At 39.8% G+C, this 22,766-nt stretch overlaps 1 protein-coding gene across 7 annotated transcripts in view, besides 2 other annotated features; it reads left to right on the forward strand.

The window, feature by feature from the left end:
- PTPRG (protein tyrosine phosphatase receptor type G) overlaps window positions 1-22,766 on the forward strand; it is a 736,039-nt gene that overhangs the window by 259,762 nt on the left and 453,511 nt on the right. The gene's annotated exons all lie outside the window — the stretch shown is intronic.
- Window positions 8,085-8,688: an enhancer, noted in NCBI's record as "NANOG-H3K4me1 hESC enhancer chr3:61815091-61815694 (GRCh37/hg19 assembly coordinates)". NCBI's record gives its function as "activates a minimal SCP1, AML or CMV promoter by ChIP-STARR-seq in primed H9 embryonic stem cells {active_cell/tissue: H9 hESC(primed)}" and the evidence as "EXISTENCE:reporter gene assay evidence [ECO:0000049][PMID:30033119]".
- Window positions 8,689-9,293: an enhancer, noted in NCBI's record as "NANOG-H3K4me1 hESC enhancer chr3:61815695-61816299 (GRCh37/hg19 assembly coordinates)". NCBI's record gives its function as "activates a minimal SCP1, AML or CMV promoter by ChIP-STARR-seq in primed H9 embryonic stem cells {active_cell/tissue: H9 hESC(primed)}" and the evidence as "EXISTENCE:reporter gene assay evidence [ECO:0000049][PMID:30033119]".

Below are 22,766 nucleotides of genomic sequence, written 5' to 3' on the forward strand. Positions count from 1 at the left end.
CTACTTTTTTGTATTTTTAGTAGAGACGGGGTTTTACCGTGTTAGCCAGGATGGTCTCTATCTCCTGACCTCGTGATCCACCCGCCTCGGCCTCCCAAAGTGTTGGGATTACAGGCGTGAGCCACCGCGCACTGCCGTCTGCTCTTCTTAAGTTGACAGAAAAGGAGTTTTACAGTTTTTACATTTCTTAATCCTTTATGGGAAATAGTATTTCTTTCGTTTTGCATGCCAGAGAACTGAGGCTTAAATGATAAGTAATGTGCTGTGACTTATAAAGCTAATAAAGGAAGGCTAGGATGACCCTAAGCATAGAAGACAGAGGCAAAAGAAGAGGGGAAATATGAAAGTTAAAGAGATATAAACAGTAGAGGGTAAGGGGTCGTGAGGTGAGTGTATGAATAGCAGTATGAGCGATGACAATACTGAATATGATAATGATTGAGAACATCCGCCCAAGATGCATGCTAAGCGCTTTACTAGTATTATATCACTGGATTTCACAGCACCTTTATGTGGTAGTCACAGTTATTTTCTCCATTTTACAGATGAGTAAACAGAGCTGTTAGAATATTATGTAATGTGCACTGGGCAGGCTCTGCCAAGTGCGTGCAGAAGCATAAGCTAGCAATTTAACTGCCTCTCAAATGCATCATAGTAATCTATCTTCCTCCTTCATCATCAGGGATTAAGTAACTGCACCATGGACAATGTAAGTAACTTGCCTAAGTAATTAGTTTCAGTCACTGGCACAGCCAAGTGGAGAATCTCTCTTTTCTGACCTGGAAGTATTATGAGTTTGCTCAGTGAGTTTGTTTTTGGAAATGCTCCTCTATGGCAACATTCTTGCCTATTCAATACTGTTTCTTTGACTTCTGTGTCTGTTTTTAATTGTTCAGCTCTTCTCTTTCCACCCACATCCCCAAATATGCAGTGAGTAGCCGTTGGGTTTCACGTTGTAATTGGAAAAGGTAAAAGCCAGCCTGAAAATAATTCTGGCCTGTTGGGAATGTTGGCTTCATGTTTTGAGAATTTCCCTCGTGTCCCTGACTTCAGAGTTAACTATTTCTTTAATGAGGACTAACATGTTAGTGTTGTCTCTGAACTTTATTTGCAGTAATTCACTAATGGAAGCTTTCACAGCCAACTCTGGTAATGAATGTAGAACAGCGACCTTCTGTAGAAAAGGAAAGAAAAAAAATGCTTTCTGTCCTCAGAGGGATCTTTCCTGTTTGGAAAAACCAAATGGACAAGAAAAATAAATCAAGCATTTGAAGGAAAGGAGCTACATCCTTTAGAGTGTTATATTTGTGAAAATTCTCATAGCCTAGAGATTTTCTTTCCAATTTAAGCAAGGAGGAATTTTCCAATGTGAAGCTATTTTTACATGGCCATTAATGGGGTATTTTTGGTGCAAAAATAGTTTCTGGTCCTTGGTGTAGCAACCTTTACCCTTTTAGTCAAATGTTTTATTCTTCCAACCACACACAGTAGGAGAATTTCTTCTCTAACAGTCCTCATACCTTCCCCAAAAAAGGAGACAGAGGAAAGGCAATATTTGTTTTGAGACTGATTCGTTACATGGCCGATGGTGACTTGAAAACACCTCCCTGTGTGTGTTTTCTGGGAAAGAGAGGAACAAGTGAGTGTTAATTCTCCACTCTGACTGGGGGCCAACATCCCTTTGATACTCATTGTGCTGCCTTTCCTGGTTAGGAGTTCTTGGGGCACTTAATTACCCTGGGCTGAATATTTTTTACCATCTACTCCATCCCATCATGCGTAGTTTGCATTTGCAAGTTCGGTTACTTTGGGAGATTGATGGAGTTGAAATTGATGATGAGCCAGTTGCACAGGTTTGTTTGTTTGTTTTTGTTTTGAGATGGAGTCTTGTTCTGTCGCCCAGGCTAGAGTGCAGTGGCACCATCTCAGCTTACTACAACCTCTACCTCCCGGGTTCAAGGGATTCTCCTGCCTCAGCCTCCTAAGTAGCTGAGACTACAGACACACACCACCACAACCAGCTAATTTTTGTATTTTTAGTAGAGACGGGTTTCACCATGTTGAGCAGGATGGTCTCAATCTCCTGACCTCGTGATCCACCGCCTCGGCCTCCCAAAGTACTGGGATTACAGGCGTGAGCCACCAGGCCTGGCCGCACAGGGGTTATTAATTAGTGGAATCATATTGCTCATTGCAGAGGAGCAAGTAGAACTTAAATGTGTTATGCATTTTGGGTGTAACAAATTTATGCATTTAGAATAGATGTTAATGTAACAAAAGTGATGAAAAACTTAAAGATTATTATGGTAATTTATATATTTTTTAATTTTGTAGACTAGCTTAATAAGGTGAAAGGAAAAACAACTTGTTCTTCATGGAGTTTAAGTTCACATGGATTTATAGTGCAAGTAGAAATCAATAATGTAGGACAACGGAGAAATGCCTTCATTCTTGGATATGTCTGTCCAGCAAATATACTGATAATAAATATCCCTGTTATAAATGATGATGAAGCTGGGTGCAGTGGCTCACGCCTGTAATCCCAGGACTTTGGGAGGCCGAGGTGGGCAGATCACAAGGTCAGGAGATCGAGACCATCCTGGCTAACACAGGGAAACCCCGTCTCTACTAAATTACAAAAATTAGCCAGGCGTGGTGGCGGGCGCCTGTAGTCCCAGCTACTCAAGAGGCTGAGGCAGGAGAATGGCATGAACCTGGGACGCGGAGCTTGCAGTGAGCCAAGATCGCTCCACTGCACTCCATTCAGCCTGGGCGACAGAGCGAGACTCCGTCTCAAAAAAAAAAAAGATGATGAAAAATGAGTTGACAGTTGTGAGATTTGAGTGAGAGATTTTGAACAGTTTTCCAAACCACACTAGACTATTCCTATTGAGTTAGTTTAAAATATTTTCTAGGCTTTCCTGCAGAAATGACTTGTCATATTTGTAGATGAATATGTTAATTTTGACTGAGAAGCCAGGTTAAATTTTTATTTGTTTCCTTAGGTGTTTCATAAGAATGTAAGCAACCTTCCTTCACAAACCCCACACAGTCTTCTACCACCAGGTTACTCATGTAGGATAGGTGGATGGAAGAAAAACAAACTTTACATCTAAGAGGCCTTCCCTTGCAGCAGGGAAAACCATAGCTGCAATTTAATTCTGCTTTGAGGATTTTCAATCTCAATGGAATCCTTAAGTGAAACTGTGATTTCTCAGCAAGTATGGTGGCTCACGCCTGTAATCCCAGCACTTTAAAAAGCCAAAGCAGGAGGATTGCCTGAGCCCAGGAGTTTGAGACCAGCTTGGGCAAACAAAAATTAACTAGGTATGGTGGCACATGCCTGTACTCAAGAGGCTGAAGCAGGAGGATCAGTCAAGCCCAGGAAGTCAAGGTTGCAGTGAGCTGTGACCTTGCCATTGTACTTCAGCCTGGGCAACAAAGCAAGACCTCATGTCAAAACAAACTGTGATTTCTCCACAGTGATGAAAATTTTGTATGACATAAACTCTAATCCTTCAACTACTTGCTGGTCATGTTGATAAGTCATACAAAGTCCAACTGGCTTCCTTAGATTTAACAACCCACTTAGGACAGAAAACCCTTGTGGATATGTGTTCCTTGACATTCAGTTAATTTAACTAGGTGTGGTCTTGAAGCTGCCATCAGATGTGGGCAGTGCAGAATGGGAAGCAAAAGGTGACATGCCAGAGTAGAAGTAAAGAATTGTCTTTTAACCCTGACTCCTTTCTCCTCTAGGGGTGATTTGTGAAAAGGGTAAGAATATTCGAGATACATCAGTAAATGTACTCCTGAAGTCACAAAGCCTGAAGAAAGTTTTCAGGTTATTGGACAGAATTCAGTAATTCTGCACATTCATGTGTCTCAACACTTTTAGGGATTACTAATTAAGGGAAACCCATTGAGCTTACTATTCTCCCATGTTTTATTTTAAAGACCAGTAAGTTAAATGCTTCAAGTGTAAGACTGGTCATACTGAACACAGATTAAATAGACAAACTACAGAAAAATGCAAATAAGTGGTTGAGGTTGCTTCTGGTTATGATCCATAGAAATTGTAAACACCAGAACATAATACAAAGAGGGAAAAGTGGAAACATAAGAGTTTCATACCTATTGTTTTGATGGTTTTACAATGCGTATCATAGATTTTAAAAGCTGAACTAGCAGTTAGTTACTAGATTCTAGGTATGAAATGGGAGGCATTATTGTATGGTAGTTAAATAAATTTCACAAATTTGGAATAAGACCAAGATAAGGTCTTAGTTCTACCACTTGGCTTATTCCGTTTTCTTAGGTTTTTTTTTTTGAGACAGGTTCTCGCTGTGTCACCCAGGCTGGGGTGTAGAGATAGGATCACAGCTCACTGCAGCCTCCATCTCTTGGGCTCATGCCATTCTCCCTCCTCATCCTCCTAAGTAGCTGAAGACTAGAGCTGTTCCCTACCACATCCAGCTACTTTTTGTTGTTGTTGTTTGGTAGAAATGAGGTTATGCTATGTTGTCCAGGCTTGTCTCAAACTTCTAGACTCAAGTAATTTTCCTGCCTCAGCCTCCCAAAGTGCTGGGATTACAGGCGTGCGTGAGCCACCACTCCCAGCCAATCTTGTTAATAAATGATGATAACAGTAACAATTTTGGAAGATTCATGGAAATAATGCATAGGAACTACTTAGCACTCTGCATGGTACATAGAAACTGCTCAAATATCCTTAACTCTCATTATCATTACCAGCTGTCCTATTGTTTTAGGAGGATAAAATACATATCTTAAGTTAAAATGTTTTTTTATTTGGTTGTGTCGTTTTGCACGGAATAGTAGGGAGAAGCCTCCTGATTTGTTTCTCTCGTGGAAATTTGATCTGTATCTGCTAAAAAATGTTTATCCCTTCTTCTGTAAAAGGGACTCTTTCCCCTACGGTGAGTAGTATATAGTGAATATCAATGCTGATACATTTAAACTGTGGAGGCATCAGGGGACCAACCTGCAGTGATGCTAAGTGGAACTGACAAGATAATGACATGCGGGTTATTGTTGATTAATCCAGTTCACTGGAGAATCATTGGGAAATGCATTTATCCTTTCACCTGACCCTCCCAACCCCACAAAAATGATTTACAGTAATCTTGGAGTCACCCAGTCCTTTCTTCCACATCTTCCAGAACTTAAAAAAAAAAAAAATCCGATGTTTGTACTATTTCCCCTCTTCCCTACTTTTGATGACGGCCAATTTGTTAAAAATGTAAGAATGGCCAGATGTTTGGTGTTTGTGTTAGTGGCAGCCTGGAGCTAAGTATGATTTTTTACAGTGAGGTAAAATACTTGCTTCTTACTCTACCAAGTACTTTTTACACCTCCCTTTATAGCCCTTTTTGTAAGCAAAGATGCCTGACTTCTGTTTCTCATCTGTGAAGTATCATAGGTCTAGAGTCCATTAGACATGATAGCCAAATATAAAACGTTCTAAAAATGGAAAGGTTTTTTTTTTTTTTTTTCCGATTATGTGGTGGCAAAACCTAACCTGTCCTGAAATCATTTGGTGATTGAAGTAGTAATTACTATGCTTCTAGAAATATTTTTAGCTCTCCATCTCCAGGCGTATGGTAGCCTTACTTATCCCGCCCTCTTCTAAGTTGAGCATGACTCTCAAACTCAATCAGGCAACTAGAATGAGAATATCGATATGAATGAGGATATAGACGTTTGTTGCCTTTAGTTGGAATCTTTCAGAGTAAGGGCATGCTTTGCTGTGTTCTTCTATCCTCTATAGTCAGGGAAGTGTGAAGGTGGAGCTACCCTCTCAGCCTGGGTACCCCAGTAAGGGAGATGTTGGGCCTAGTCCCCTAAGTGGTGCATTTGCAGCATGAGCAAGAAAACATCTTGCTGTTGTAAGATTCTATTTGGAGGACTGGTTTGCGGCATAACGTAGTTCACCCAGAGAAGTATGTGGTAAATATAGGGCTTTGATTTTTAGTCTTTCATGTAATCAGATGCACTTTCGGAGAAGGGTTTCAATCTCACTTCCAACCTTTGTATACCTTGTTCCTAATCACACCCCATCATACTATAGGAAAGGTGGAAGGTGGACAGAATCTGGGATCCCAGCCTCACTCATGGATCCAAGGTCAGAAATCATCTCATGTCTTTCTGCCAGTGAATGTCCTTCTCGTGACCTCATGATATTTTGTGACATCCCTGATCTGTCCTTCAGTCCATGGAAATGCCCCTGGCTGTAGTCATATTTCTCTGTCTATCTAACCATGTGTCTATCTATATTTTCATATTTATCTGGTTGGAAGCATATATATATATCTTTCAAATACTGGGAAGGCCCAATATTTTGCCTCATTAGGTTATACATACATGATAAACAGCATGATATACATTTTAATATCAAGTAGATAAAATACAAGCTTTTCTAAGCTATAGGTCATCACTGGTGACCCTATCCTGATACAGTTACTTTAGAGATCTAAAGAGATTAGATATTATATTTTCTTATTATATAGTACCTTAAATATGTCTATAACAGATAATAAAATAGTGCATTAGCTCATATATACTACCTAAAGAGAGACACTTAATCTTACTGTATTTATTTGGAAAGTTTAGGTAATTTCTTACATTAAAATATTTTTCCTTAAATTAACTGCTGATTCTTAGATCAAGTCAGTTATGTATTATTGACCTAAATTCCACGTACAGTAATTAGTTTTTGTTTTGCTGGTCATACTGAGTCATTGCGATATTTCTCTGGTATGTGATTTTAGTCTTCTACATGCCCTTTTTTTCTCAGTCTATCAAGGTACATTACATAGTTTATTTATTCTAAGCGTTTCTACGAAATACAATAATTGTCACTCACTTTTTAAAGGTTTAAATTCCTAGGCTAGCAAAGGAGTAAGTTATTTTCCTATATGCAGTCAAACCTGGGTGACACAGTATGGAAGATGTTTAATATCTGTCCATATGTCTGTTTATTCTTTCATACAGCGACACATGTGTTGCACAACTATAACATACCAGGCATAGTCAGTAGCGTCTGGGAATATTCAAGTGAAGAAATCTAAGTTCTAGCTACTCCATGGAGAAGATGCTTTTAGACTAGAACAAGGTAGACAAGGTGTGTTTTGCACGTAGTCTTTCATTTTCATAGTGCCTGGCCCATGCTTAACACCAAATAGGTAGAAAGTGAATGCATGGACTTGTAACCAACATGTGTCTCATCTGGCCTTTCAAGGAAGTGCTGTGTGAACCCAGAGGAAGTGCTGTGTGAACCCAGGGGAGGAGTGACTACACATGGTTGGCGTCGGATGCATTGGAAAGGCTTCAGATAGGATAGTATTGGACTTGAGCCAATGGGAATTGGCTTGGTGAAGACCTCCAGGGGACAGGGTGACAAGCCTTGCCTGCAGTGACAGCAGCTTGTGTGAAGGCACAGTGACAGGGATTATGTGAAAAGAGGTGAGCTGTGGTTTTCATGTCCCTGAGGGATCTGTTTATTTGGGCCAATAACCTATATTTCCTTTTTTTCCCTTGGTCATGGGTGGAAGATATTTACCTATATGACTGATTCTGTACCCAGAAGAGGTGAAAGCCTAGAACAGATGATTTCTCCAATATTTAAAGTGTAGGTTTTGTCAGCATCTGCATGTGTTATATAGATATATATCCTTAGCACGTGGTGTGTATGTGTGTGCATGAGCTTGCCTGTGTGTGCCCGAGTACGTGCCTATGAGTGAGAGAGAAGGAACTTACTTGGCATGGGATATGAAGGAAGATACTCAGTATTTGTTCCGACTCATGCATCCCAACAAAGGCGAAGTAAATGTCTCTGTGGTGTCCCACATAAAACATGAAGCACTAAATAATATTGAGAGAGCCTCGCTGAGCCCTCCACAAATAGTACATTAATGTCAAGGAAGTGTTGAGGAATTCCCAGACAGCGTTGTAGTTCAATAATGACCGTTATTTATCACAAACGTGCACTCTGTTTGTTCACATTGGGTAATGAATGACCTTTCTGTTTCCGTGGCCAGGGCCAAACAGGCCTCTGTCGAGGCGGGTGCAGGCTGGGGGCCATTTATCATGCCTCACTTAGCCCGATCACTGCCTTAAACGACACCACCAGGGACATACTTGGGCTTAAAGGATCAGGCCCGAAGAAAGCCTTCATGGGTTAACTACTCCAAAAGCAAATACTGTCCAACCCTTCCTGCTGTCTCTTTCTCTTGGATTTGATGCGACTACAGTTTGGATGAAATCACATGACAGGTTGTCAGGGAGAGTGTATTAATCCACAGGAAAAGTATATTTCCAACAGTGATGACTCTTGCAGGATTTTTTGTTGTTTTGTTGCTGTCTGACACAGCTTCCTTTTGGTTTTTTTAATTGAGAATTTCTGTCATCCTTCAAGTGAGAGTCATACAGTCAAGAAAATCACCCGGTAGATTAATTTAGCTGGTGTAACATGGTCCTGAACTTGGAATGAAAGGAGACAGAGCGCCTGTGTATTTTGGAGGAAGAGGTTGTCTTGCTTGTGATCTGGTTGGGACTGTTGATTTAGTGTGGAACTAAAGACTACTTCATTTTAGTTTTTATAATGCTGTGATGTTCTTGTATCCTCCACATGGTGGATAGCTCACAGAAAAGAAGAGGAGAAACCTTTGCATGTGGTGATTTAAATACTGCAGTGTGAAGACAGCATCTTTGTTATACACAGTAGTTGTCCTTAAAAGTTAGATTTACATCACAAGCTGGTCAAATTTATTCACTGAAAAATGCATTTAAAAGCCAGCTCTGAGAATTGCTGTGATGTCATGTGGCATAACCCTGGGAATACTGCCAGTTCTGAAAACCTGTGTAGCAAATCAGAATTGCCGTATTTTTGGAAACTTCACTGTGTGAATTTCAAGACTGCTATGCTTTGGAATTATACGGTGTGAACTGTCTTACTCTGTTGTCGTGGAAGAATACTATCATCTTTTAGGTTGATAATGTTTAATTTAGTTGTGTAATTACAGTTCAACCATAAAACCCAGAAATCTGTCAATCTCTCCAACTGTCTGTCTATAGATATCTTTTAAATAGAAAACAAACTTTAGGGGCTTCTCCAGGTTTGCTGATTCTTGACAGATTTGTCCACAATGTTCTCATCTTTGAATCTTCGACTTACGACTTACTTAAAACTGGTGATGGTTCTTTTTGTTTTTGTTTTTTTTTTTTTTTTTTTTTTTTGGAGATGGAGTTTCGCTCTTGTTGCCCATGCTGGAGTGCAATGCCGTGATCTCGGTTCACTGCAACCTCCACCTCTCAGGTTCAAGTGATTCTCCTGCCTCAGCCTCCCGAGTAGCTGGGATTACAGGCACGCGCCACCACACCTGGCTAATTTTGCGTTTTTAGTAGAGATGGGGATTCTCCATGTTGGTCAGGCTGGTCTCGAACTCCCGACCTCAGGTGATCCACCTGCCTCGGCCTTCCAAAGTGCTGGGATCACAGGCATGGGCCACTGCGCCCTGCCGATGGATCTCTTTATCGGGAGGTATAAATGCATCAAAATTTGTGGAGCTGTAGTGAAATTTGTGCTTTGTTTTTACTTGGTGGCTTCCTTTCTTTTTTCAAAGACCTAATGAGAATGTTTAAATAACAGACATCTGGGTTCAGCCTTTGAAGCCTTAGCTTGTACTGTCTGATATTCTCAAGTTTTTGAGGAATATCGGGTCAGTGATGGACATTTAGCTGCAAAATATATTCCTTTAGTGATCCATCTATTTAATCTCACTGATAAAAAGATACTGATACTGATGAGTATCTTTCCTATTTTCATGGAGGCATTATTCAGGCATAACCCAGGATACTCCTAGCTGCTGTTGCAGAATTTTTCACTGAAATATAGAAATATGTGTGTAAACATCTGTCTCACAACTTTTGTGAAAGAGCATAATACCCATTTATGGTGAAGAGAAGGAATAAGCAGTTAAGAAAGGAAGCAGTTGAGTGAATAATTTTGTCATTTGACTTGCATAAAATCATTGGGATAATTTTTACTTATAAATATACCACACACAGGAAGGACCTTTTGTTCCATTTTAAAAATTGCAGGTGACACCTGTTTTTTTGTTTTTGTTTTTGTTTTTTTTAACCTCATGTTACTTCTCTTGCTTGATGTTCAACCCAGCTTAAAGTTAAAGCAGACTCAAGCCACCATTCATTCATTCTGTTGAGGACAGCATCCATCTGGTATCTTCTTACTTTGTTAATTCAGTTATTCTATCTACAATTGTTTCTCACATTGATGACTTAGGAATTTCAGGAATGGATGAGTTAGGAAAATGCCAATGACCATGGAAATAGAGAAAAAGGTATACCAAATTTTGGGTGCTTTTTGAGTTTTCTGTCTTATGGGTAAATGATATTTTTGTGCCTTTTTCTCCATTGCAAAAAGGAAATAGTTTTTCATAAGAATTGCTGGTTCAAACTGTATATAGATAAACACACACATAGGATAGATATTGATGGGTGGTAAAAGTTTTCTAATTGGTTCAGATGAGAAGATTTAAAAATTACTTAAAAGAGAATAAACAACATCTTGTCTATAACTATTCTAGGTGGTTTGTTTTTCTAAAAATAATGTAATATTTTAAAAATGTTTCTAGATGATTTCATTTATACATGGATTTATACATTTGTATCTTATAAATATCCCAGAAAGAGTCAATCAAAAAATTATATCTGCCAAAATAAGTGTAATCATGTTGTTCAGCCTAACAAGAAGGGGGTGCTTTGCATGCACAATTCCATGCAAATGAATTCACATTTCCATTTAGCTGTAATGGGCACATTCTCCCCACAGCTGTGCTTTTCGTTGTGACATGGAGATAGAAGCTCCACTTTCAAAATTATTGGATTTGGAAATGGAGTTAGAATATTGAATTTGGTGCCTAAAATAATAACTATCTCTTTTTAAAAACATTATTATATGCTCAAAACCCCTTCCCTGGACTAAGTCATTTAATTCTCATAACCCTATGAGATAGGTACTGTGATCATCTTCAGAACAGAGTTTTGGAGCATAGAGAGTGGGTAAGCATCTGGGGCAGGGTCATACAACTGGGAAGAAACTGACCTGGACTTGAACCCAGGCTTTCTGGCTTTGGAACTAGCTCTGTTAAGTGCTGTGTGTACAGCCTTCAGGGTATCAGGTCCTTATCTGACATTATCTCACCCTCTTCCCCCAGTGGATCTTGTAGGGTAGGTATCATTATCTTCATTTTATAGCTGAGAAAACTGAGATGCAGAATATGCTGCTCTGATCTTTGGTTTTTACTTACTTTTTTAAAAAAAATATTTATTTCTAGTTTGTATTTCAGTAGGTTTTTGGGGAACAGGGTATTTGGTTACATGAGTAAGTTCTTTAGTGGTGATTCATCAGATTTTGCTGCATCCATCACTTGAGCAGTATACACTGAACCCAATATGTAGCTTTTTATCCCTCGTCCTCTTCCCACCCTTTCCCCGCTGAGTCCCCAAAGTCCAGCGTTATCATTCCTATGTCTTTGCATTCTCGTAGCTTGGCTCCCACTTATGAGTGAAAACATATGATGTTTGGTTTTCCATTCCTGAGTTATATCACTTAGAATAATAGTATCCCATTCCATCCAGGTTGCTGTGAATGCCATTAGTTCATCCCTTTTTATGTCTGAGTAGTATTCCATTGTGTGTGTGTGTGTGTGTGTGTGTGTGTACACAGTTTCTTTATCCACGTGTTGATTTATGAGCATTACCTCGTTCTCCTTCTTTTTATTTGAAGGGTGGAGTAGAGTTAGCCTGAGGTGCAGGTAGAGTCTCCTGACTGAAAGTTATAAATTGAATTCTACATATGACCCTAAATATATACTATAGGACTTTCACTATAATGCCCCCAATTTTGCAGGGCAATTTGCTACATCTGTCAAAATCCAGTGTGCATGTGCTTGATATAGCAAATCTGCTTAAAAACGTGCAGAAGAAATCTCTAGGGCTTTTACTGGCTTAATCTAGTTTATTTCAGAATGTCAGATCTTGCGCTTGGGGTGGTGTTTGTGACAATTCCAGACCTAAGCGAGAGTCCCTGCGAGGATGTAGTGAGCGTGTGTGCCAATGCCCTGGTGAATCCTTTATCCCCAGGCACTTCACTTGCTTTCCTCATTCCGGCAAAGTGTTTTCCTTTCTTTTCTTTTTCTTTTTTTGGAGACAAGTCTCACTCTGTCGCCCAGGCTGGAGTGCAGTGGTGTGATCTCGGCTCGCTGCAACCTCCGCCACCTGGGTTCAAGCAATTCTCGTGCCTCAGCCTCCTGAGTAGCTGGAACTACAGGTACCCGCCACCACGCCTGGCTACTTTTTTTGTATTTTTAGTAGAGACGGGGTTTCAGCATGTTGGCCAGGCTGGTTTCGAACTCCTGAGCTAAGGCAGTGTGCCCGCCTCGGCCTCCCAAAGCGCTAGGATTACAGGCGTGAGCCACCGCGCCCAGCCGTGTTGAAGTGTTTTCTATGGAAGCTCATCTTTGAAAGGAGAGCTCTGTGTAAATGTTAGGTATTCTCATCCACAAAGTTATGGGTCTTCCTTATTTCTCATCTACTTTATTGGCTTCAATTAGTCACAGCACAGTAACTTAAAATGATTAATAACATGGAGGTCAGCTTAGGATTTCAGAAGATGCTTTTCTTGGGAAGTAAACATAACGGATTGCTTATATATTACTCTTTTAGGTTATTTGTCAAAGAACACATTTGCCTTGGAAGGATGTTTGTTACAGCATCTTTTCTTCTTTCTTTGACATGTTGCCTCTCCTGAGTCATTTCTTCACAAAAAGTCTCTTGTGGTTGCAACTGTTAGATGGAGCTTTGATAAAAATTGGTCTCAGAATCATCTGGAATATTTATATTGTCAAGTTTTTTCATATAAATTATTTTATGGCCTTAAGAGTGTTTTTTTCTCAAAGATACTACCCTGGCAGGGGGTCAGTTTACAGTTCAAAACTTTGTTTGCTGTTGAGCTTAATTGATTTAAAAATGTGCTTCTAGCCAGGTACAGTGGCATGTACCTGTAGTCCTAGCTGCTCAGGAGGCTGAGGTGGGAGGATCGCTTGAGCCCAGGAGTTCAAGACTAGCCTAGTGAGATCCTTTTTCTTAAAAACATAAGGCTTGCCACGGTGGCTCATGCCTGTAATCCCAACACTTTGGGAGGCCGAGGCAGGTGGATCAGGAGGTCAGGAGATCGAGACCATCCTGGCCAACATGGTGAAACACTGTCTCTACTAAAAATACAAAAATTAGCTGGGCATGGTGGCGTGTGCCTGTAGTCCCAACTACTCAGGAAGCTGAGGCAGGAGAATTGCTTTAACCCAGGAGGTGGAGTTTGCAGTGAGCTGAGATCGTGCCACTGCACTCCAGCCTGGGCTGGAGTGAGACTCCATCTCAAAAAGAAAAAAACATGAACATTTTGGTTCTGATGTGAGCTGCCAATTTTTTCTCATCCTGGAAGTTTCCTAAGGCAAACATATTGGGAATCCAGCTCTCAGAAATTAGACAATTGAATTATATTTCATCTAGATTGCCCACCCAAGCTAGTGAAAGCTTGGGTTTTGATTTTGGTTGTGTTTAATAATTACAATCCTTTTGGCTGTGTTTTCTATCTGAAATTCAGCTAGATATAGAAATAAAGTCCAAATATACCTAAGATTCAGCATCATAAATGTCAGGTTCATGGAAGGATTATTTATACTTGTATTGAGAATTATGCTGTCCAGTTTGGTAGTTTCCAGGTGTCTCATTGTGGCAGAGGCAGGCTGCCTTCCTTTGGTCGTTACTGTGCCTCAATTACCTCAATATTCTCTTGAGAGAAAAGGGCTTAGGTTATTCCATTAGCCTCTGGTCAGCCCTTCCTGACTCTACTGTTACTTTCTCCTGCTCCAGCCTCCTTTGTAAATGTGGAAGTCAATTTCCTATTCAGTGGGATCATGTCATTCCTACTCCCCCCTTCCCCAGGCTGGAGTGCAGTGGTGCGATCTCAGCTCACTGCAACCTCTGCCTCCTGGATTCAAGCGATTCTCCTGCCTCAGCCTCCTGAGTAGCTGGGATTACAGGCACACGCCACCACACCTGGCTAATTTTTGTATTCCTAGTAGAGATGGGATTTCACCATGTTGGCCAGGCTGGGCTCGAACTCTTGACCTTGTGATCCAGCCACCTCAGCCTCCCAAAGTGCTGGGATTATAGGCATGAACCACCACGCCCAGCCCGTTCCTGCTATTTAAGTCCTTAATGGCCTGGCCTTGTTGGTAGTCTGAAGTGTCACATCAGTGGTTCTTAAACCAACCTTTTTATCAGGATCACTTTGGGCATATGTTAAAATATACACACGTGGGCCGGGCACAGTGGCTCACACCTGTAATCCCAGCACTTTGGGAGGCCGAGGTGGGTGGATCACCTGAGAGGTCAGGAGTTCGAGATCAGCCTGGGCAACATGGTGAAACCCCATCTCTGTTAAAAATGCAAAATTAGCCAGGCATGGTGGCACATGCCTGTAATTCCAGCTACTTGGGAGGCTAAGGCAGGAGAATTGCTTGAAGCTGGGAGGTGGAGGATGCGGTGAGCTAAGATCGCGCCATTGCACTCCAGCCTGGGCAACAAGAGTAAATCTCCGTCTCACCCCCCGCGCCCCCCCCCACCAAAAAAAAAAATATATATATATATACACACACACACACCTGAACCCCACTGCAGATTAATGGCTCTTTGGATATTTGTAGGCCTGCTCTTTGTTCTTACAGCTATGTGTAGGAATCACTGGTAAGTCTTTACCTTCCTTGTCTCTTCTCTTTCCAAACCATTGTTCTTTGTTTAGGCCTTTGTTATAGAACATAGCCCTTTTCTGTTCATCCACTACCCTCTGACCTCTCTGATTCATGTACCCCTCACCTTCCTCATTGTTTTCTGAGTGTGTAGTACATAGTAAGTGCTTGAAAGTGGTTGAAGTAATGCAGTTTAAAGTTGTAACATTTTGAGGCCTGGTGTTGATCTACAAAGATGGTAGGCTCAGTTCCAAACAAGACACTAGCCTTTCCTGTCTCCTGGAGGCCAGCTTTACTTAGGGATAGTGATAATAAAATATAGCAGCTACTATTTACTATGCTCTTACTACCTTCCGGGTACTTTGCATAATGCCTCTCAGACATTATTGACATCAAGGCCTGAACTAGGAATATCAGATAATAATATCTATTGCCATCACTTTGTAGTTGAGGAAATAGAGGTGCAGTAAGTTTTAATAACTTGCTGAAGATGATGCAGTTTGTAAATGGGTGAAGTTCTGTTTGAAACCAGTTTTTTTGTTGTTGTTGTTGTTTTTTGTTTTTTTATTTGTTTTTTTCAGACGGAGTCTCTGTCTGTCACCCAGGCTGGAGTGCAATGGCACAATCTCGGCTCACTGCAACCTCTGCCTCCCGGGTTCAAGCAGTTCTCCTGCGTCAGCCTCCCTAGTAGCTGGGACTACAGGCACACGCCACCAGGCCTGGCTGATTTTTTTTTTTTCTTTTGAGATGGAGTCTTGCTCAGTCGCCCAGGCTGGAGTGCAATGGCACAATCTCGGCTTACTGCAGCCTTCACCTCCTGGGTTAAAGCGATTCTCCTGTCTCACCCCCCAGAGTAGCTGGGATTACAGGTAGGCACCCATCATCATGCCCGGCCAATTTTTGTATTTTTGTAAAGATGGGTTTTATCATATTGGCCACTCTGGTCTTGTACTCCTGACCTCAGGTGATCCGCCTGTCTTGGCCTCCCAAAGTGTTGGGATTATAGGTGTGAACCACTGGACCTGGTTAATTTTTGTATTTTTAGTAGAGACAGTGTTTTGCCATGTTGGCCAGGCTGGTCTCGAACTCCTGACCTCAAGTGATCTGCCTGCCACAGCCACCCAAAGTGCTGGGATTCACAGGTGTGAGCCACCGCACCCAACCTGAATCCAGCTTTTTCATCTTTAGATCTTGACCTTTTGACAGTTACCCAGTAATATCTCCTAAAATGTGGGATACAGTAAAGTAACTGGAAGTTGAGTCACAAGCAGGGCTCCTGTTTGCCCATGTCTTGCTGAATGTTCGGCATGCAGGGGGTACTAGACTATTAAAGGCTGAATACGGAGGTGCAGCCTGAATAGTACGTCATAGACAAGAGCGGATCAGCAGCATTGATTGAACAATAGCAAGGTTTTAGCCTGGATTTTTGTGTTTGAGGTGAAGGAAGGGGATGAGGAATGTCTGTACACGTACACATGTACCATATTTTTCACTTGAGGGTGCTTTCACTGATCAATTTTGAGGGATTATTGAAAATAAGTGAAGACATTGAAACCAGATGTATTAGTCCATTAGGGCAGCTATAACACCACAAACTGGGTGACTTAACAGAAATTTGCTTTCTTACAGTGCAGGAGGCTGCCAGTCAAATATCAGTGTATTGCAAGTTTGCTTTCTTCTGAGGCCTCTCCCCTTGGTTTGGAGATGGCCACCTTCTCTGTGTGTCTTCACATGGCCTTCCCTGTCTTTCTTCTTCCTCTTACAGGGACATCAGCCTTAATGGATCAGGCCCCCGACACTTTTGCCCACATTTAACCTTATTCACCCCTTTAAAAACCCTGTCTCCAAATACAGCCCTGTGAGGGCTTCAACATATGAATGTTGCAGGGGAGGCACAATTAAGTTCACAACACCGGGATGGTTAAACAACTGCCCTGAGATTTCAGATGGTGAATGGGAGGGAACTGGGCCTAAAAGCTGGTTTCTAGGACAAGTGGTGAAGGTGCTCAGAATTATTGTCCTGAACTCAGTATGTGAGAAATAGTTAAATGGGGAAGGTTGTGCTGTTGGGTTATCTACCTGAAATCAGTTGAAGAATCGTTTTTGGTTTCAAATAATTAACCCTAGAAGTTGGGCCTGACTGGAGACTTAGGCCACCAAAACTAGACAGGTTTATATAGTTTCTTTTCCCTTTGAAAGGTCCCTTTTGGATTTAGTTTCAAAATAAGATGGCCAAATTTAACCTCCCTGAAGTTTCATCATACCTTCAAGTTTTTCATGTGTGTGAATGGACAGAGTGCCCACAATGTGATATTTTGGCCCCACATGGTGATTAAAATCAGGCTTTTCCTTTAAAACTCTTCAACAGTTTATGGCTGGGCATCCCTTAAATAAAAACAGTCTGTTAAATAAGTGATGGTATAAATCTGCTTGTATTTGGACCTTTTGAACGAAATACCAGAATGACTTTTTAAAAATAGTTGACTAAGTTTTATTTCAATAACACTGTAATGTTCCATATCAAATGACTGGTCAAAAAGTGACATATTGGGTATTCTTACCACTCTCCCTGAGCTTTTTCTTCTTCATTTGCTTTCTCTTGCTAAAACTGTCATTTGGAATTAGTTCTTGTCTTATGTTTCTGTAAATAAAATTGATAGCATGTTATTAGTGTCTTTGTTTCCAGAATTCTGAGAGTTTGCATTTTAAAAGGAGCTATATAAAATCTAAGCTTTTCATGCTTAATAGGCTAGTCTTTAAGTGAACAATAGTGTGAAGTTAGCACATATTAATTAAAATGTCTGCAAAACCAAAGCTTTATGAATTCAATAAGCATTGAGAGGAGTTTTCAGGTCTCTGATTTATGTGTTCCTACCAGAAAAATTTTAATATTGTAAGCAAATCTAAAACCAACAAGGCATATATCCTTTAAGATAATAGATAAACTTTCAATTAGGGGCTTTAAAGAAAGTAACATCACTGAGAAAAGAAATTTCACAGAAAATTACTTTTATTGGAGGCAGGAAAAGCTTATTTAATGTGTTAAATATATTTAAATAGCTCTTAAGTTGATTACACCTGAAAAATATTTACTGTTCGGTAGATTAGAGTTTGGCCTCTGTAGAATGAATCTTATTTTAGATGCACAGAATGTAGTAGACACAAGAGACTATTCTATGATACTGTTCTGTTTCTTTAAAAATATGTCCAGCTGCTCCTGGAAGCCCCAGATCAACAAGGAAGATAAATGCAAAAACAAACTAAAGTAAAATAGTTAATATTCTTCAGCTGCTAGAAGGCTGGAATTTCTGGGAAGGACCAGCTCCAAGAGCCACAGCTTAAAACATTTTAAACTAACCTTGTCAGAGTTGGGACTTGAACTGAAAAGATAGGAATTTGCTTTAAAATAGACCTATATAGCAACAGTACTTTCGTATTTGAAAAAAATGCCTGTAAAATATTTTTAATGAAGTCTATTTTAAGGTTATAGAGCTAACACATGTTCCATATAGAGAATTTGGAAAATAAACATTTAGAGAAATAAAATCGCAATTAATTACATTAGGGAAAAAGAATTGCTTTGGACATTTTCTGAATTTTCTTTCTGTACCATACCTGCTTCCCTCACCTCTCAACTCTCACCCCCTTCCCCCTCGTTGCCTACACAGCATTTTTTGTCGTTATAAAGCTCACACCCTTCAATGCATTTGGTATTTATTTTGTAATCCTAATGCATCTTAGAGTTGTGTGTATTTTATGTGGTACTATTTCTTTTTCCTCCAAAAAAGCTGCTATTAAAATGACTGCGTATTTCAGAATTCATGGAGTCTTGGAATTTAGAGAATATAGCACACATATATTTATGTATACACTTATAGTTTATATGCACATATATATTTAGATGTGTGCCTGCATTTTCCCCTTGATATTATATCATAAACATTTCCTGGTAGTATTAGGGTCTAGGCACTTGTAATGTCTAAATCATATTAATTTATGTGATTGTGACTTTATTGATATGATTTTGCTTCAGTCACTTAGGTTGCTTTTAGTTTTTTGACTAAGTGTAGTTAACATTCTTAAGAATATTTTTTGCTAGTTTTCTGTCTGAATATCCAGGACCCATTTCGATCTGTATTCTTTAGTTACTAAATCTTTAAAATTTAAAATATTAGGGTTTTTAAGCCCATATAATTCAAGAAGTAAATGCTTTATATGTTGAATTATGATTTGGGCAAATGCATCTTATTGTTTTAGGGCAAAAAACTTAAGCTTTCTTCTATTAAAGTGATTTAATAAGCACTTTGTAAGTGTGTAATGAGGATGATTTGGGTTTTATTACAAATGATGTCAGTGTGAATTGTGTAATGATTTCTTGCTTTGGTCATACTAATTTAAGCTCTAGGAATAAATATTCTTTTATCAAAGAATCATTGATGACTGGGCACTCTGTGGGTGGGTACATGGGACAGAGAATATATTTTTACCTTTGGAGTTTATATTGGGGGAGGGACAGGTCATGTGGAGACAAACAATGCACAAGTAAACAAATATATAGGATACAGAAAATTTCAGATGGAGTTTTTTTTGTTTGTTTGTTTTTTTTTTTTTTTTTTTGAGATGAGGTCTTGCTCTGTCACCCAGGCTGGAGTACAGTGGCAAGATCTCTGCTCACTGCAACCTCCACCACCTGGGCAAGCAATTCTTCTGCCTCAGCCTCCCGAGTAGCTGGATCTCCAGGGGCCTGCCGCTATGCCTGGCTAATTTTTGTATTTTTAGTAGAGGTGGGGTTTCACCCTGTTGGCCAGGCTGGTCTCGAACTCCTGACCTCAAGTGATCCACTGGCCTTGGCCTCCCAAAGTGCTGGGATTACAGATGTGAGCCACCACACCCGGCCGATAGGTAGCTATCTTAATAATGCCCTTTTCCATCCACTGATTATCTTACCAACTTTAACAATGAAAAAAGCATCAACGTATATATTGGGACCGTTATAGAAGTTTACGCCAAAAATGTTAAAGAGATGTTTTATATATACTTGACACAGTCATATTATAGTGAGCAGGAAAGAACCTTTCTATTTAATATTTGTTCTCCCAGGTCATGTGTTTGCTGAAAAGCCATCAGTTAAAGCGAGGCGGCCAGGTGCACTCTCTAGGTGGAGAAATTAAGAGCCTGTTGCTCTCTTTACAGTGATTTTAGTTTTGTGAGGTTTCTTGTTTCTTTTAAAAGAAAGAGAAAAAAATATCTTTGTCCTGTAGGTATAAAGTCATTATCCAGACTAATGGGGCATTGAACTAACAGGAGGTACAAAGTGGACTCTTTTCAAACCTTTTTATTGAATCCGTTTCACTGTCAGGTCAAACAAGATGTGATTAAACTTAGCCCTCGTCCACCACCACCCCCACCTTACCCCTCTGCCCTTAAGAAATGTTTTCATGCTTAGGAAATGGCACCACAAAAGAACAGTCATGTGCTTCTGTCCACTGGCAATTTACCAAGTGAAATAAGCTGAAAGTAAGAGAAAAAGAGAGTACTACTGTGGAATAGTAAAGCTGCTTGAGAAAGATGTGTAAATACAGGACGATAAAGGAATGTGCCAGGGCGACAGAGCGAGACTCCATCTCAAAAACAAAAACAAAAACAAAACAAAACAAAACAAAACAGACTTTTTGTACCAGAGCTCTAAGAGTTAAAAATTTCAGGCAAATTACCCATAAAAATCCCGATGGTGGAAGGGTGGAACAAGAGAACTTGGGTCACCACACAACTCTATGACAGTCATTGTAGATGGTATGCACAGAGTTTGTTGTGACACAGCAACCCTGATAAGTATACAAGAAATGAAAGCCTTAGCTAAATGTTTCTTTATAGGATTGCAATTTCTAGTTTTATTTAATAAACACAGTTATAAGAACCAATGCAGCACTGAACAGGACAAGAGATAAATGAGCCTGTCTCTGAGTATGCATCACACCCTATACCATGTTTAGTTCAGAACAGCCAAGGTTAGCAACCTCCTCCTTCAAATATCACAATTCTATGTGCATCCATCACTCAGCAGCAATAACGTTTCTTATTGCTTCTAAAGGCAATGCCATACACTTGGAAAGCTGTAATTTCACTGCAACACATACATGCACACTACACACAAACACATTTATATGCTCTCTCGCCAGTCTGGTGAGCAGCAATCCTTGACTCAAGTCTTCAGTCTGCACCTTCGAAAGTACCAGAAATGTCCCTTTAGGAAGACAGTTCAGATTTACTTTCATTACATGTTCCCCTCCTTGTATTCCAGGGCAAGAGAGGAAAGATAATAGAAAAGATATTGAAGGCCCACATTAAATCAACCCAACTTACATTTAGTATGTGCAGTACACATTTAAATTATGCTGTAACAGAGATTTCTACTGCTACAACACAACTTGTTTCCTTTTTTCTGGATGACACAGATAAAGTGAATTTTTCAAACCCTCTCAGGGCAATGTATGTGTGGCAAAAAAAAAAAAAAAAAAAGAAAAAGAAAAAGCCAATGGAAAGTGGCAGAGTAATATTTACTACTTCTAGGCCTGACCCATAAAATGTTCCCAGTTAGATGGGGATGGCAGAGCTACAAGACAGAAGGAGACTTGGTCCCTGAATGACAACCTGGAGGGGAGCATACTGACTCACCATACCTGTGCTACTAACTTTGCATAAGTTAAGAACAAACTTTTATTCTGTTGAACCACTGAGATTTGAGAGCCTATTACGGCCACCATCATTATTAATACATGCCCAAGCCACTGCAAATCAAATGGAAATCCAAATTATATTTCATGAAATGTCTGGTATCTCTCTTACAGCTCTGTTGCTCTAGCCTGATTTATACTACTTCCCACTTCATAGAAGAAGTTTTTTATCTCTCAGTTTCATATTGATTCATTCTGCAAAGAAAATCCAGTTTTACCGAATGTCAATTTAAATTTTGATAAGCCACAATCCCACCAATATTTGAAAATGGCCAAGTTAATCTATAGCCCATCTGAAGCAAGAACCATCAGAAATAACTTGAAAAAACAAAACAAACAAAATCAAGGGTTTATACTGTAAGAAAAAGCATAGAATAAAGTTGGTATTTAAAACAGTGTGGTACTGCCAATATAGATTATTATATTGTATATATACACACACATGTATATCACACACATACATACACACGGATCATAGAAACAGACCCATGTACAAATAAAAAATAAGAGATATAAATGAATACAATGTAAGATAGTATCTATCTTCAGGGAGTATCCTGAGACAATTCAAGGTGGGCAAAATGAAACATTCATTGAAAAGTTTTGGTGAAGAAGAAGTTAAAATGATGACTTAGGGTTGTATGTCAGATATTTTAATAATGTTGGCAGTTCCTAGATTCTACAGTCTTTCTCAAAACTAAGAGGTTTATCCCTAAGGCAATTTTCTTCTCTTTTTTTACTACCAAAAATGTTTATTCTATCGGCAGGTTTCCAGTGACTAGAAAAATTTCCTTCTTTACAACTCTGAAATCGTAGCTCAAATCATTTTCTAACAGAGTGAAAGTAAAAACATTATTAGTTGATGTCAGCACCAGCAGAAAATCTCTTAAAACTGGACATTTCTTTAAAAAAAAAAACAAAAAACCCAGTTTTCCAAGTCACCAATTCCATGCACTTAAAATGCTGCAAATTTCAGGTGAAGTAAAATAATATTATAGTTTATGTTCATGTCATTGATAGCTTGGAAAATTCACATTTTACAACTCTTTTTTTTTTTTTTTTTGAAATGGAGTCTCATTCTGTCGCCCAGGCTGGAGTGCAGTGGCACAATCTCGTCTCACTGCAAATTCCGCCTCCCGGTTTCAAGCGATTCTCCTGCCTCAGCCTCCCGAGTAGCTGG

This window comes from Homo sapiens, chromosome 3 (assembly GCF_000001405.40).
Source record: "Homo sapiens chromosome 3, GRCh38.p14 Primary Assembly".
NCBI classification, from domain to species: Eukaryota; Metazoa; Chordata; class Mammalia; order Primates; family Hominidae; genus Homo; species Homo sapiens.